At 45.9% G+C, this 15,328-nt stretch overlaps 1 long non-coding RNA gene across 9 annotated transcripts in view, besides 1 other annotated feature; it reads left to right on the forward strand.

Moving 5' to 3' along the window:
- LINC02641 (long intergenic non-protein coding RNA 2641) overlaps nt 1-15,328 on the forward strand; it is a 214,291-nt gene that overhangs the window by 129,676 nt on the left and 69,287 nt on the right. For 5 of the 9 annotated variants that reach the window (XR_007062326.1, XR_002957104.1, XR_002957105.1 and 2 more), the window contains one exon: nt 11,325-11,412. This is a non-coding gene — a long non-coding RNA (long intergenic non-protein coding RNA 2641). Of the gene's footprint in view, nt 1-5,368; nt 6,367-10,916; nt 10,967-11,324; nt 11,413-15,328 lie in introns of those variants that run through there. The other 4 variants (XR_001747618.2, XR_001747616.2, XR_946398.3 and 1 more) reach the window with 4 other exon arrangements.
- Nucleotides 14,026-14,796: an enhancer, noted in NCBI's record as "OCT4-NANOG-H3K4me1 hESC enhancer chr10:125251140-125251910 (GRCh37/hg19 assembly coordinates)". NCBI's record gives its function as "activates a minimal SCP1, AML or CMV promoter by ChIP-STARR-seq in naive H9 embryonic stem cells {active_cell/tissue: H9 hESC(naive)}" and the evidence as "EXISTENCE:reporter gene assay evidence [ECO:0000049][PMID:30033119]".

A 15,328-nucleotide genomic window follows, 5' to 3' on the forward strand; every position in this document is an offset into this window, starting at 1 on the left:
CTGATGAGATATCCCACTCTCAAAGGGAGTGTGGAATACACAGTAAAACATATGTCATTCATGTAGCAAACTATGTAAGTGCTTGAGATCATTTCAAAATGGTATCACAGGAAGGCCTGTGCTTTGCCTGTGGGTTAAGATCTACCTGTCCTGGCCTGGAGTAATCTCATAGTGCTCAGAGGTTGGTCATTAGGCCCTCCCAATGACACAGGCAGTTGGGAACTGGGGATAAAACTAGCATTCAAAAAACTCACATCTTGATATTCTGAGCCGATGACCTAGAATAATGGTTCTTGGTTTGCAATGGCTCTTTTTAAGGGCCTTCTTCAAAGGGCTTCCTCCCAGGTGCCCCTGGGTCCCTGATGGTGGCAAATGGCCCGTCTTCTTTTTTCTTAGTAAAGTGGGTCTCATGCTAGATTAAAATTTCTGGGTGCTGAGGTGAGGAGGTAAGGCCACTTCTCACTGCCTAGCTGGAAGGCAGTTAAGTTCTTCCCAGTCAATAGGCCTCTATCGACCTGCTGTTAGAATTTTACTAGGCTGGGGAATTGTGAGATCCATATATTGTTTGAAATGGAAAAGAGGAACGAGTTAGGGAAATGTCCAGGCAAATGTCTGTGTGTTTGGAAACAGAGCTATTCTCTTCCAGGTCTTTTCTAGTGGGGTCATTTGCATGCCCATCTGATAGCAGGGGCACAGCCAGGCCCAGCAGATATAACCCATCTGGACCTTTGAATGAAAAATAAACATTGGCTTCTTTTAGTTTCCAAAGGTCATTTGCATAAAAACTTGCAGGATTTCCAAGGCCTTGGCAGTGGACTGGAGAGTGAGAGGTGGAGAAAAGGAGGTTTGCATGACACTGGGACAGCAGAACAAAGCAGTTCAGGTTAACCCTTATTGCTTCCTTGTAAATTCGCAAAGATGTGAAGTCCAGAGAAGTCAGGGTGGGGGCCCTGATCCTTGCTCTGGTTCCACTTCTAATTTCCCACTTGACCCTTTGGACCTTAGTTTCCTCTTCTATAAAGTGAGTGAATGAGCCAGATCTCTGAGGTTGTTCATTCATTCAAGCCATTGGCATTTCTTGAGCACATATTATGTGCCAGGCACTCTGCTAGAACAGTAAGATGCAACAGCGCAGACAAGGTCCCTGCTTTCAAAGAGCTCCCAGCCCAGTGGGGAGTCAGATGGGCCAACAGACACCCAGCCCGCACTGTCACAATGGTGTTCAGGAAGAGAGAGAAGCCTCGTGTTGGGGGATAGGAATGACCTAGGCTGGGTGGCATAGGGTAAAGAAAGGTTTTCTGGGGTAAGCAATGCTAGTTGCCAGTTCTGACTGTAAAGTCTCAGACTTACCCACCTGCCCTTTCTGAGAGTTCTTGATTGGAGACGATCTGGGGGATCATATCCAGATGACAGCCAGCATGTCTCTGATATTGACAGACTCCTCTTATAGGTGTAAGTAAAAAGTTCTAAGTGACATCTGCATCTGAATTAGGGCTGCCTTCTCCTCCCTGCTGTCCTCTCTCCTGGGTTCTCCATTAGATCTTCCAGAACAGAAACATGGAGTTCAGTTGGCAGTGGAAGTGATTTCACCCCAGCCTCGACCTTGGTGTCTACTGGGCGGTGTCTCCGCTCAGGCCCAGCCTCTGGGTTTAAGATACCAGAGTAAAATGTTGATGTTATTGTAAGTGCGTAGAAAGAAAAAGAGGTGGTAATGCTGGCAGAAATTACCCTAAGTTCATTTAAAACATCCTGTGCAAGAGTTAAAATCTAAAAGTAAAGGAAATAATTGCACATTTTGAAAAAAATACTAGCTGAGGCCCTCCCAGCCAAGAGAGAGGGTACCATCAGCAGAAAGAGCTCTGAATGGGATCAGGAGACTTGAATTCTGACCCTACCTTTGTCTCTCACCAGGAAAGGCCTCCAGGACTGAGTTTTCCCATCTGTAAAATTCGCAGGTTGGACCAGGCAGGTTGCAGGTGTCTTTGGTGCATGAATCTGGGAGTTGGTCAGCCAATGGGACTACATTGTCTTTAGTGTAGCTGCTGGGGAAAGCTTAATTCCCAGAATCCAGGAGAATGGGCTCCAGCCCAGCCAGCGCCAATCAGATGAGAGAATGAACCAGTGTGAAAGGAGAAGCGAATTCTGGCAGATGAATCGGTTTTTGTCCTTTTTGAAGGATCATATTACACGGAGTTTCTCAAAGAAGAGCTGTTTTGGTGGGTGTTTCCCCAATTGGGTGTTTCCCCAAATGCTTGTGGGTGCATCATCTGCCTATGGACATGCCCTCCAAAGAATTTGTTCTACACCCAGATCCTTAGCAAGATAGCTTTATTGAAGAAACACAAGCTTTATCAGCCCCAAACAGTTGAGACCAGCCTCCTTTGGTCCCCTTTCCCTTTAAGAATTCTTATTGTGACTGACTGCACTCTTCTGGCACAATTAATTAAATCAATGGCCCTCTCATAAATTTAAAAATACATCTCCCATGTCTTTAAATCTCTGAATCCCAGCTGGGAAACTGAGAGGCGTGAAATACACAGTCATCACGTCACAGCCACGGAGACCGCGTCCCGGAGCTGTAATTCCGTGATAAATGTCTCCCAGCCACATGGCCACGGTTTGGTTATGCCCTAGAGGTGACGGGGAGGCTGGGAAGAAGAAGGGGTGGCTGGTTATTGGGCTGCCCTGCCGTGTGCTTTGGGGATTAGTGTAGACCGGAGGCTCAGACAGCAATGCAGGGCAAGGCCAGGACTCTCTAGAAAGTTCATAATAAAGTTGTCTTCATCTGTGGATTTGGAAAGAGATCCGGGGAATTTCACTAAGACTGCTAGAAAGCAACATATGGGGGCTTGTGTTCTGCCCATTCCTCTGAGGCTGAAAGGAACAACCAGTGACTTCATGGCTTCTCCTGCCAGAAGCGAGAGGGCACAGCCCTGGACTGGCAAACACCCTCTCCAAACATGGCTTTACTGAGGATCTATGAAGCACCAGGCACTGACCTGGGCATTACAGGTGCAGTGGGGACAAGTGGGCCAGTCCTGCCTAAGGTGGTTGACAGCCTGGAGGGGGTTTCAAGGCAGGGTGACCACAGAACAGATGCTGCTGGAAGGCACCCGTGGGCACCCTGCCACGCTGGGATGGAGCCTCCAGGGGAAAGGACTTCAAGCTGATGCTGGAAGAGTGTAAGGTTGCTAGGACTTTCCCAGGTAAAAGATAAGGACAAAAGGTGATGTCGGAAGAAGGAAAAGTGTTCCATGCAGTGGGGATGGTAGTGGGAGAGAGCGCGGCACAGACTTTGAGGAACTAGCGTGACTCAGACTGGGAGAGGATGGGGAGAAGAGCAGGAACTAGCCGGCTGCGATCTAGGCCTGGCACTGAGCTCCGGACAACCTAGATGCTGCCATCTCGGGGAGCTTAGATGGTGGGCGGGATGGAGTGGCTCAAGGGTGTAGGGCGGGGCTCCAGGCTGGTAGCAAGTGCCTTTGGTGCATTTTGGGAATTCACTTTATGACTCAATTTGAAACAGTGTTGAGGTTGAGGCTTTTCTGTCCCCTTTGGTTTTAGTAGATTCTATTCATTTTTATGATGATTCTTTTTTATTTATTTATTTTCAGTTGATATTGCTCCCAGTTCACTGAGAATTGTATTTCACAAAACACTGTTTTCTGAACTGCTTGACTTTTCACCATTGCGAGTTGTTTTGTTTAGGACAAATGAGGGAAAGCCCCATGTCACACATGCTAATAAAATTGCAGGGCTCCTGATCTCCTGGTATTCGGTGCTGCCAGGAACTCCCAGGATGGAAGACCCAAGTGGGAGCAGCTTCAAGATGCACCGTGGGGTGGAGTGGAAATTTACAAACCCCACAATCTCTCTCTCCCAGTATCAATACGCATCTCATATCCTGCAGTTTGAATGCAGCACCTCACTCATTCTCAGCGAATCCTGGAAAGGGAGTGCTCGTTTTCCCATCTCGCTGACCTCATCTAGGGCTCTGAGAGATCCCACAACCACCCAACGCGAGAAAGTGGAACAAGACTTGAGCCCAGGGACAGCATTCCCTCCGCCAAGCACAGCACCAACATGGCGGGTGGGGAGAGTCACTGTGTAGTAGCTCCAGCAACCATCACTCAAATTCCCCTTTTGATGGAGCTGGTGAAACCTGGGCTCCTGCAGAGAAGCAAACATGGCCTTGTATGTCCTGGGGGCCTTGAAAACGCCCAGGTGCTCATGCCATGCTGAAGGCTTGGCACACAGAGGTACGGTCAGAGCGGGGGTGGGGGGCTCTTTCTTTTTGTGGGTTCATGTGATTGCCCCAGTATTTCCAGACCCATCTGGCAAAAATGATTGGCCAAAACTGTTAATTTTAAACTTATTATTTTACCAGTGGAATTTTAAGATGATTTAAAAACAATTAAAGGCATATCTATATTGATGGATGGGTAGGTAGACGGGAGGTATAGATATAAATTATGTGCTGAGCTGACAATAGAAGAGAATGGGGCCTCACTACTGCTCCCCATCCCTTCCTCACTTCCTCCTTCCCTTTCCCCTTCCTTCTTATCTGGCCCCTGGGTCTGCATAAGCACCATATGAAAATATTCTTGAATCTACGTCTATTTTCAGCTTATGCTTGGTTCTTAGCATTAAAATAAACCCTGGCACCTCATTACACACTGTATGAAGCAGAACCGCCTTTCATTTTTAAAACTGTCTCCTTCAAGCTCCAAAAAGTGCTTTCTAGTTTTTGCAGGAAGCCACATGATTTCTTGGGAAAAGCACAGGTTCTGGAGTCTGACAGGCCTGGGTTTAATCCCAGCTGGGTGGTGCTAAGTATTGACGATCTCCTCTTTGAGTGTCAATTCTTTCCTAGGCAAATATCCACTGTGCAAAGATTTGTGCTTATTGAATTAGACATTGCATGTGATGTTTTCCTTCTCCCGGGGTCCTGGGTTTTAAACTCCTGGTTCACTTGTCCATATTCTTTCTGACTTTTGAATACCATATCCTCTCTGCTGCACCTCATCGTTACTCTTCCCTGTTTATAACCTGGACCTGGCTGAAGACAGAAGGAATGCCCTTTGCTTATTCTGGACTGTTCTGATTCTATAAAGCTGATGCCTAAAGCAGCCCCCTTATTTTTTATTTGTTAAAGCTAATTCTGACTCCGACCTTTCATCGAAGTGAGCAGGCACCAGCATGGTGCCTTTAGACTCTGCTTGCATGGGGTCTCCAGTGGGCGGGTGGTGAGCAGAGCCCCCTAGGCCTCAGAGCCCCCTCCTTTGGGGCTTCTGCTCTAGGCAGCACTCTGTGACATCATCAATCACCCTCCACGGCAGCCCCCACCCCAGCCCCCTCACTTCTCTCTGCAGGTTACACCACCCCCAACCTGGACCCCATCCAATAGGCTCGTGGTCCCTGATGGTCCTGGACCACTGATTTGAGGCCTTTCTGCTTCCTTTGATTCAGTCTTTGGCAGAGACCCAGGAGCAGGAGTCCTTGATGGCACCTGGCCCTTTCTAGTCACCGACAAGGGAAACCTGAGAAACCATTCTCAGAAATGGAACTAAATTGTGAGTGAATCTGTCCCCATCTGGAGAAGAGAGGAAGATTTGGGGCAGCAACAAAGGCTCCTTTGATTTCTGTTAATTAACTACTTTGGACTCTGGGGGTCTGGAGTGGCTTGTGTTTGACACACAAAGAATCCGGGGCAAGGATGATACCCACAACAGGGTGTCTGCACTGGAAAGGGCTCCGTGTATTTACCTGTAGGGCAATTCAATTAAAACTCAAGAAAGGGGTAAATCTATGAGATTAGCTCCAGGAACAATGGTGCTGATTGTTGCTGGCCCTCACCATCCCTACGAAAGCAGATGTTAAACAAATATTTTGATGCCTCCAATCAGCCCCAGTGTGAATCTCCTGTTTTTGTTTTTCATTATCTCCAGAGATGGGAATTCTACAGTCTTCATCAGTAGCCCACTTTGGTGATCTATTTAAAATTGGTGATCTATTTAAAAGACTCCATAGAACTTGATTGTAAATATCCAAATGGAGGGACATGATTCATTAATATAGGGACATTCTGGAGTTGTCCATTCGGCCTTTGCTCCTCCCCATTCTCAGAAGCACCCTTCATTACCGGAGAGGTTTCTTGGACGTTTGTGGCAGGCTCAGGAGGAAGAGAAGAGGTAGAGGGGGAAAAGTGTATAGACTGGGGGCTGGGGGCAATATTGCTGGGAGGACCCTCAAAGGAAGCCACTGGAGTCTTCTAGATGTTTGGAAGAGAGGAGTAGTTGAGCAGCTGCAGTGTGACACAATGGAAAAGTAATTTAAGAAGTGTCCTGGGCCACATATTCCCTTCATGTATGTATATATGTATGTATGTATTCATGTATGCATGTATGTAGGAATGAGTGTAAGAAGAAATGTATGTAGAGAAGTTGAAATGCTGTAGTAAATTTTTGGTTGCCAGACCACGCTCATTTGACCATGATGCCATTCAGAGACTAAACCACTTGGGACCTAGCTTCACTGGGATGACACATACTTACCTACAGACTGACTTGGTGATTTTTCTGTTAAATTATTATTTTGTTTTTAATAAAGGAAGAATAAAACTTGGGATATTTTAAAGATACTGACATAGAAATAGAGGAAAATGGATATAATTTAATAAAACTTTGGAATCTGAACAGCATCCAAGCCTGCCTTCGAAATGGGATCATCACCTCTCCTCTTCCTGCCTTTCCTTTCCCCATCTGGGATGGATGCCAAGCTCTGCAAGGCAGAAGGCCCACCTATGCTGCTCATATGGGAGCCCCAGGGCCATTGCTTGGCACAGAGTAGGGCTTCAGTGTGTATTTTTTTAGTGATAAAAGGAAGGAATCAAAGAAACGTCAGGTTCTCAATGGCTGCAATTCTGTGACCATATAAAAGAGGATGAAGCCCATCTTGTTTCCACATGAGGGTCTCTGAAAGCAAGAGTTTGAGTGGCTCAGATCTGAAGTCCTGTCCTGTGGGCCAGATGCTGTGGGGACTTCCTTGCTGTGTCTCTTGACTCTGTTTTTACAAAGCAATCAGGCTGCATTTATGATAATATTGGTCAAACTGAAGCAAGTAATAAAATTCAAGTGGTAGATATGGAATCATTTCATTTGAACATTTTTAGCTTCACATTTTTCAAATGGCCATTTGGCTTTGTATAGACACAATGAAAGAATTATGACCTTTGGCTAACTTTACTGAACAAGGCAATAAAGTATAGTTGAAGTATATAGTGCCTTTTGATTTTGTGGGGGAGGGAATGTCATTATAGCGTGAATTATTCTATTTCATTGACGTGGACTACAGTCATAGCATTCTAAAGAGAAGGAAAAGTCCTGGGCTTAGTCCATGAGCCTTGGGAGGGGAAGGGCAGGCAGTCCAGGGAGAGAGTTGTTCATGCACTTAAGGGTCCCTAAGAAAAGGAATTTTATATCTGCTTAGATGGGTTACTTTGCCTCTCTGAGACTCAAACTTCTCTGTAAAACATGGAGAATTAAGTTACCTGACTTAAGTTACCATGACTTCTTTATGTCATGATCGTGTGGATCGTGAATAAGAGGCACCTCACAGTATTTTGTAGACTCAGAAGTACCATGCAAATCTATTTCATGTTCTGTTAGTTTAAAGCAACTCTACCTCGGAGGCCTAGAATATATATAACATATATGGCTGCATGAAAAGATAAATCTTAATATTTATTTTAAGGGTCAATAATACAGAATTTGTTAGCTACATAATCATTATTTACCTACAATTGCAGATTACTTTATGAGGATAATGACTCTTGGGTAATTGCTTTGTTGTAGCAAGATATCCACACACGTATAGCCAACCACGTGAATTATAGCTTTTTAATCTCACAATTACAGAGCAGTGTGAAGGCTACCAAAGAGGTTGAGATATAATTGCTAATTGCCAAACAGTGCACTGGGACTTTGTTTATTTCCCATCATGACAGTTTAACAGCAGGATGAAAAGTGAGTAGCATAATTTGGGCATGGTTTTGCATATGTCTAAGTGAAGACTCAGCCCCAGACTTTTCTGAGTTGCATTTTTTTAGTTGGTGTTTTAATAGGACATTTCCCAACTTGAGATGCAAACATATAAATTGCGAGACTTGCTTTCAGTTCCTCCAAAGGATGACATGATGGCAGATGGAACGGCCTGGACGTTTCCTCTTGAATTAGTGCCCGCTTCATCTAAGGTCCTCAGTGAAGGGTCAGCATGGAGGTCACAACCCTAATGAAGAGAGTTGGGATCAATAAAGGCAGGGATCGTTGACTCACATTCAAGCCAATAAGTATTGATTCAACTCCTTGTGGAGAGAAAACCAGCCCTGGAGTGGGGCTCTCTGAGACTGGAACTTGTTTCCACCATTTATGAATTGTATGACCCAGGCCCTGTTACCTCTCTCTGATCTTTAGTTTCCCCAACTGTAGAATGGGAATGATCATAACAGAAACTCCTTTGGGGGTTGTGGTGAGCTGGAGATGAGCTAAATGAGATGATGCAGGCTAAGCGCTTGGAGCAGTGCCTGGCACGCAGGCAGAAGGTTGGCCACGTTGTCATTGGTGCCCATCTGGTGTGAGCTGTGCTGATGCCTTCTTACACTAATTCCTTAGGTCAGTGTTTCACAGAGGCCCACCCATCTCACAGGAGTCCTCGCATGTCTGATGTGCTGCTGACTTAGCTAACTCTATAGAGGTAATGCTCTATTAGCTTGAAATGATCCTGCCTTGGGGGCTGGAAGACAGTGCTGGCAGATCCTTCTCCTCCATGTTGCCAAATCCTTCATCTCCTGAGAACCTGTCATCTACTGCACGTGAGAGGACTTTGCATCGGAGCTTCCCTGATGCTCAAGGGATGTTCCCAGAAACACTTTACTTTTTAAGGCTAATGAATCAGACTTAGCTCACAGGGCTTTTGTGCAAATGTTCTTAGTTTTCAAGCCTGGCTCTGCCTGGGCTGCAGCCCTCCCTTGCTAGAAACTCTCTGCCCACAAGCACTTACTCTTATACTCTAAGTCACTGCCTTCCTCCTTCCATGGAAATCCTTCTTTACTTGCCAGGCCCCACATGAATTCCAGCCTCCCATGGAGCTTTTTTTTCTCTACCCAACCTGCAGATTAATGAGCTGTTCCCAATCCACATGGGTGATTTCACAAGTATGTTCACCAGCAACTCAGTTAGATTTGCACAAATAAGACCTTGCCCTGAGGCTGGGTGTGGTGGCTCATACTTGTAATCCCATCATTTTGAGAGGCCGAGGCAGGAGGATTGCTTTAGCCCAGGAATTCAAGACCAGTCCTGGCAACAGAGCAACACCTCGCCTCTACCAAAATAATAATAATGATTAGCTGGGCACAGTGGCTTATGCCTGTAGTCCCAGCTACTTGGGAGGCTGAGGCAAGAGGACTGCTCGGGCTCGGGAGGTCAAGGCTGCAGTGAGCTATGGTCGCACCACTGCACTCCAGCCTGGGTGACAGAGAGAGACCTTTCTCAAAAAACAAAACAAAACAGAAAAACCAACCTTTCCCTGAATGCGCAGAACTTCACCTTCTCAGCCCCTACTCTATATTTCAACATCCCAGCCCAGCTGATACCTTTCTTTGGAGACTGCCATCATGTCTGAACTCCCTTGCCCCAAAGCCTTCACACGTGTCTTCTTGGTAGCCAGATAGAAGTTCTTTCTGTCTGAGAACTTCCAATAGTAATGTTTATGGCAAGTGACTTCTGGATTCCTCCCTCAGGAACAGTCCTGGGAAAATCTCAAGGGAAATTGAGTGCACAGTTGACATTTACATTGAAATTCAGATTTCTACTTCTTCTAAAACCATAGTCCCAAGGGGTTCTTAATCCATAGAAAAGAACTTGGGAAGCAAAAGGGGAAAAAAGCGCTTTTGATGGAAGAGGGGAATGAGCTGGTTCTAGGTGAAAGCACTTCTGGTAAAGTAGCAAATAGACCCACTGGTGTGGGGGCACAGAGCTTTAGACAAATGGAAGTGGGTGCATTCTGAATGCTTGTCTTTTTAGCATAAATGCATGATGATTGGCTGCATTCAGTTTATCTTTTTAGTGACTTCAAAGCCAAGTGCAGAAAAAAATACACTATCAAAGCAAAAAAGGCCAAAGGGTGTTGGTGCACAAATTTAATACTGGGAGAATGAGTAATTTTTTCTTTATTTGTTTTTTTTTTTCTGATATGAAAAAAATGAAAGACTTTCTATTCCAGGTACGAGTCTTGAACTCTCTTTGGTAAGAGACCATCACTTTCTAGGCAAGTTGGACCCTCCGTTAAGCTAGAAGTTCTATGTGTTGGTCTGTTGATCAGTATGTCTGGTGAGAAGGAAGGATCTGGGGGAAGCAGCTCCAGACCCAGGACCCAGGTCTAAATTCCTTGTCCTCCACTTTTACATGGCCTTGGGTGGGTTGCTGATAGTCTTAGCCTCAGTTTCCACATCTCTGAAATGGGCAGAATAATAGTTGCCTTGAAGTGACAGTGTGGAGCTGTGTATAAAAGCCCAGGATAGATGCTCAGGAAATGTTGTCCTTTCTCTCATCTTCCTCTTTTCCCTCCCTTCCTTCTTTCCTCCCTCCCTTTTTGGAGTATGTTTTCAGAGGAGGAAGCATGGGGGAGAATAGTAAATTATTTGAAGATCTGGGGAAACAGGAAAGCTTGAACAACTGAAAAATGTTTCTTGCAGTGTGGTTGCAGGACACTCCTTTCCGAGGTACCCGAAGTGCTTGTGTCAAATGCAGGGTTCTTAAACCAAGCCCTGGGGGCATGCCTTGGGAATCTGTATTTTAAAGTGACAGGTATCCCAGACACTGTTGAGTGCTTACAAATGGCCATTGCCTTTCTTTCTTCAGACAGAGTCCTAGTTTTGTCCACTCCTCCTGACAAAAAAAGAAACTCAAAGGTAAATCCTGATTGGTCAAAACAGATCAATAATCCCCTAGACCCCCTGCCAGTGCCGGTTTAGTGAAGGGCCAGAGACCCAGTCCAGACCACTGAAATGTGAGAGAATGTCTGCTCTGCGCAGCGGGGGGTTGCGGGGCAGGCTTCTTTGTTCTTTGAAAATCACTGCTGTGGTTTAAATGTTTGTGTCCCCTCCAAATTCATGTTGAAATGTAAATCTCAATGCAGTGTTATTAAGAGGTGATTAGGCCATGATTAAGAGGATTAGACCATCCTTGTAAATAAATTAATGCCCTTATAAAGGAGGCTTCATACTTCATTCACTCCTTTTTGACCTTTCATCTCTTCTGCCCTGTAAGGACACAGCATTTGTCTCCTCCAGAGGATACAGCACCAAGGCGCCATCTTGGAAGTAGACTGGAGCTCTTAGCAGACCAGAACCTGTGGGTGTGTTGATCTTGTACTTCCTGACCTCCAGAACTGTGAGAAATGCATTTCTGTTGTTTATAAGTTGCCCAGTCTCAGGTATTTTGTTACAGCATCACAAACAGACTAAGACAATCTCCTAGAGGAGAAATCCTCTCTTCCACTACATGCATTGTGTCTGTGTATGGTAGCTGGAGCTGGAGCAGCCACGCTGCAACCCAGGGGCCAGCCAAGGGCAAGGCTGAGAGTGTTATCACTGATGTGTCAGGTGGTTCTTTGTTGTTTTGAGAAAGAACTTTAATTGAGATAATTTATGTAACATAAAATTTACTGTTTTACAGTGTACAATTCAGTGACTTTATTTGGTATATTCACAATGTTTGGCAACCATCACTACTATCTAATTCCAGAACATTTATATCACTCTGAAAAGAAACCCGTATCTATTATTAATTATTCTTAATTTTTCCCTTCTCCAGCCACTGGCAACCATTCACCTGCTTTCTATCTCTATGGACTTGCCTATTCTAGACATTTCATACAAATGGAATCATGCAATATGTGATCTTTTGTGTCTGCCTTCTTTCGCTTAGCATCATGTTAATAAGGTTCATCCACATTGTGGCATGTCAGGATTTCATTACTTTTGGTAGGTGCATAATATTCCATTGCATGAGTGTATATGTGTGTGTGTACATATATGTGCATATATATATACACATACATACATGCATATATATATACACATATATAAATACATACACACCACATTCATCTATTCATCAGTTAATGGACATTTGGGTGGTTTACACATTTTGGCTACTATAAATAATGCTGCTAGGCACATTTGTATAGAAGTTTTTGTGAGGACATATGTCTTCCTTTCTTTTGGGTATATACATCAGGTGGTTCTTTTACTTCTAAATTTGAGTGGTCTGGCAGAATGGTTCAGAGGTAAACCATGGAGTTTGACCGTTGGGAACAATTCCTGGCTTTTGCACTTACTGGCTGGGAGACTTTGGGCTACTGTTTACTACTGGTTACTGCCCCCTCTTCCCACCCGCTGTGCCTTGATTCTTCATCTGTCAGATAGTGATGAGAAATACATTGTTGCCACAGGATCACAGTGAGGATTAAATGAGTTAATCTATTAATATTCCTTAAAACCCTGCGTGGCACATAATAGGTGCCCAGTGAATGTTAGCTGTTGTTATTAATGCTATACCCACACGCCAGAAGGAGCTCACCGCAGACTCTCTTGCTGAATTTATTCTTACCTTCTGGGGAGCCAAGGTCAGAGTTAGAAATTCTTCTTTAAAAACACCAGCGTCATCTCCACTGGCCCCTTATAATGGTCCAAAGATGAAATGCACACTGGTCAAACCAGAAAAGTGGCCAGTAGCACCTCCCAGTTTCTTCATTTTCTTCACTTTGGGATAATTATTGAAAATACAAGCTTGTTCTTTCTGTAAAAAACTCACGCCTAATCTGCTTCACTGTTTAGTGGCTGAAATTATTGCAAGGTTTGTGTTCATTTTTGGGTCATAACCTCTTATCACATTTCCCTGGACTTCTCTATATGTGTGATGTCTTTTCAGCTTCTTGTGTGCAAAGGTCAGCATTTTAAAGACTAGCAATGGCACAATTCCCTCCCTCCCCTCTCCACCCTGAATGCCAACCAGCATGAAGGCTCATCTGCCTTTAATTCTGCAGCTTAGTCACGGCCTCGAGTGAGAAATACGAGACTAAGCTATGGCCTTGGGAGTGGGCCACAGTCCTCTGTTTCAAGCATTCACCAAATTTCATAATTAATGTGTTATAATTAATAACTAGCATTGCCCCAGCTTGAGCTGAAATTCATATACTAGTCCCAGAGGGCACATGCATCTCAGCAGAGCTACAGTTCCTGGGCCCATAGTTCAAGACATCCTTAGTGTTAATGAAGAGCCTCCTTGCACAGGCCTGGAACCCTGAGGCTGGGAGGGGATTTGATTTAGCCACATTAGGGGTGTGTGCCTGAGAGGACTCACTCGCATTTCTAACTGGCCTTTGCAAACACCTTTTGAAGACTTGATGCACTCCAACAAGAGGACCCCAAACCTCATTTCACAGCTCTGGGTCTGCGTCTGTAAGTTTATGTGGGCAGTGTTGTTAAGAACCCAGGCCCCGGAATCAAATGGAGGTAGATGCAGATCCTGCCTCCCTGCTTTTTGCTGTGTGATCACGGGCAAATCCGTTCACCTCTCTGAGCCTTAGTGTCTTCACCTGTAAAATAGGAGAGAAAACACAACCGCAGCCAGTTGTTTTGTGGATCAAACAGAGCAATAGAAAGCACTTTGGAGAGTCCCTTGGTCAGTTCTCAACAAAGATTAGTGGCTGTCACTGCCATCCTCTTCTTCGTCATCACCCTGGTTGTCTCCTAGTGGCTCACACTCCGCCTGCCCTCCCTCAGCTCACCATCCTGCATCCTTCAAGTCTGCTCCTACCCCTCTGTTTTCTCATAATAACATCACTGATTCTCTGCCCTAGAAGGGAGCTGACAAGTATTCCCGACTTGTCCTGTCCCTCACCATGCTCAGGACCAGGAATGGAAGTGCAGCTGAATTTCTTCAACCTGGAAACCAGGGATGAGTGTGCTTCCTCTGGCTGCGAGGAAGAACCCTTAGAGGGGTAGGAGGGAGGAGGAGAGCGTTGGCACAGCTTTGGCTGATAAAGGGATGGGTTGGGCCGAAAGGTAAACAGGAGAAGTAGGATGTAAAAGGAATGGTAAAAAGTCAGCCAAATCGAGCGAACTTCAGCTGAGGTCCTGATCTCTGCCCAGATCGGCCGCCCCAGCTGGTGCTCTCACTCCTCCAGGGCCTCCCGCCACCCCTGCTGCTTAGCACATGTCTACAGTTCAGTGGACAGGCAGTGATGGGCCTGCCCGACTTTGCCCAAGCTCTGGGGTCCAGTGCTCATTATCCCTGTTTACCCATTCGGGTCCGGAATGAAACCCCTCGCCGCTGCTGGCTTCCTACAAATTCCAGTGTTTTGTTTAAGGGGAAGAAATGGATCCAGATCTTACTACGGGCTTTCCTTGCTCTGTCAACTACAAAATAAATTAGACGGGTCAAACGTTGTAGATTTAATCTCACTGTGAACTGAAAACATAGTCGCTCTCCTTGCCATCGGAGAATATGCGAGCGCTCGGTGACCCCCTGGTGAACCGGAGGGGCCAGGCCTGCCGGCAGGTGCAGCTGGAGCAGTCTCAATGTGACATTCACCGCGATCCTTTGTGCCCTGCTGAGAACTGCTGGGGAGTGTTTGGAACCGAATACTCAAGGGCTTTCCCTCACCGTCTCACAATTACCTGTGCAAGGTACAAAAAAGGAAGAAATTGAGAGAGAGACAAGAGGAGGAGAAGGGGGAGCAGCTAAGGGAGAAGGGGGAGGATTCTCCAGTGGTTCGGAGGAGGCCATGGTGGTTCCAGTTAAAGGCAGAGATTGGCATAGGAGCCAATGGGATAGCAACGGGTGATGGAAACAGTGTTTGATAGAAACAGATGGCTCTCCACTCTCCGGCAACACACAGGGCTGCATGCCTCGTCCGCTGGTTTGGAGAACAGGCTGGGGAGAGACCCTGCACGTGTGGGCAGTCAAGGAGGGCATTGGCTTGGTGAGGACAGGCCTGGTGAGCCTCATGGGTTGAGGGCACCTGCGAGCTGTCAGCTGCTTCCCAGTGGGCTAGCTGCAGTGATTTGGTGCACCTGGCTGGGACAGCGAGTGTGTTGAGGCACTTTATCCTTCATCGGCTCTTCCTGTGGGATAAGGCGTGGAGCTGAGGACACCCTTCCCCCACCCTTGACAGTCATTCCACAAGTGATCCTTAGAAGGTGTCCCCTTCAGGTGTCTGAACAGGGATGTCTGCTCGGGCTGGCATTTGGGAAGGCCACTGAGGA

This window comes from Homo sapiens, chromosome 10 (genome assembly GCF_000001405.40).
Source record: "Homo sapiens chromosome 10, GRCh38.p14 Primary Assembly".
Taxonomy (NCBI): domain Eukaryota; kingdom Metazoa; phylum Chordata; class Mammalia; order Primates; family Hominidae; genus Homo; species Homo sapiens.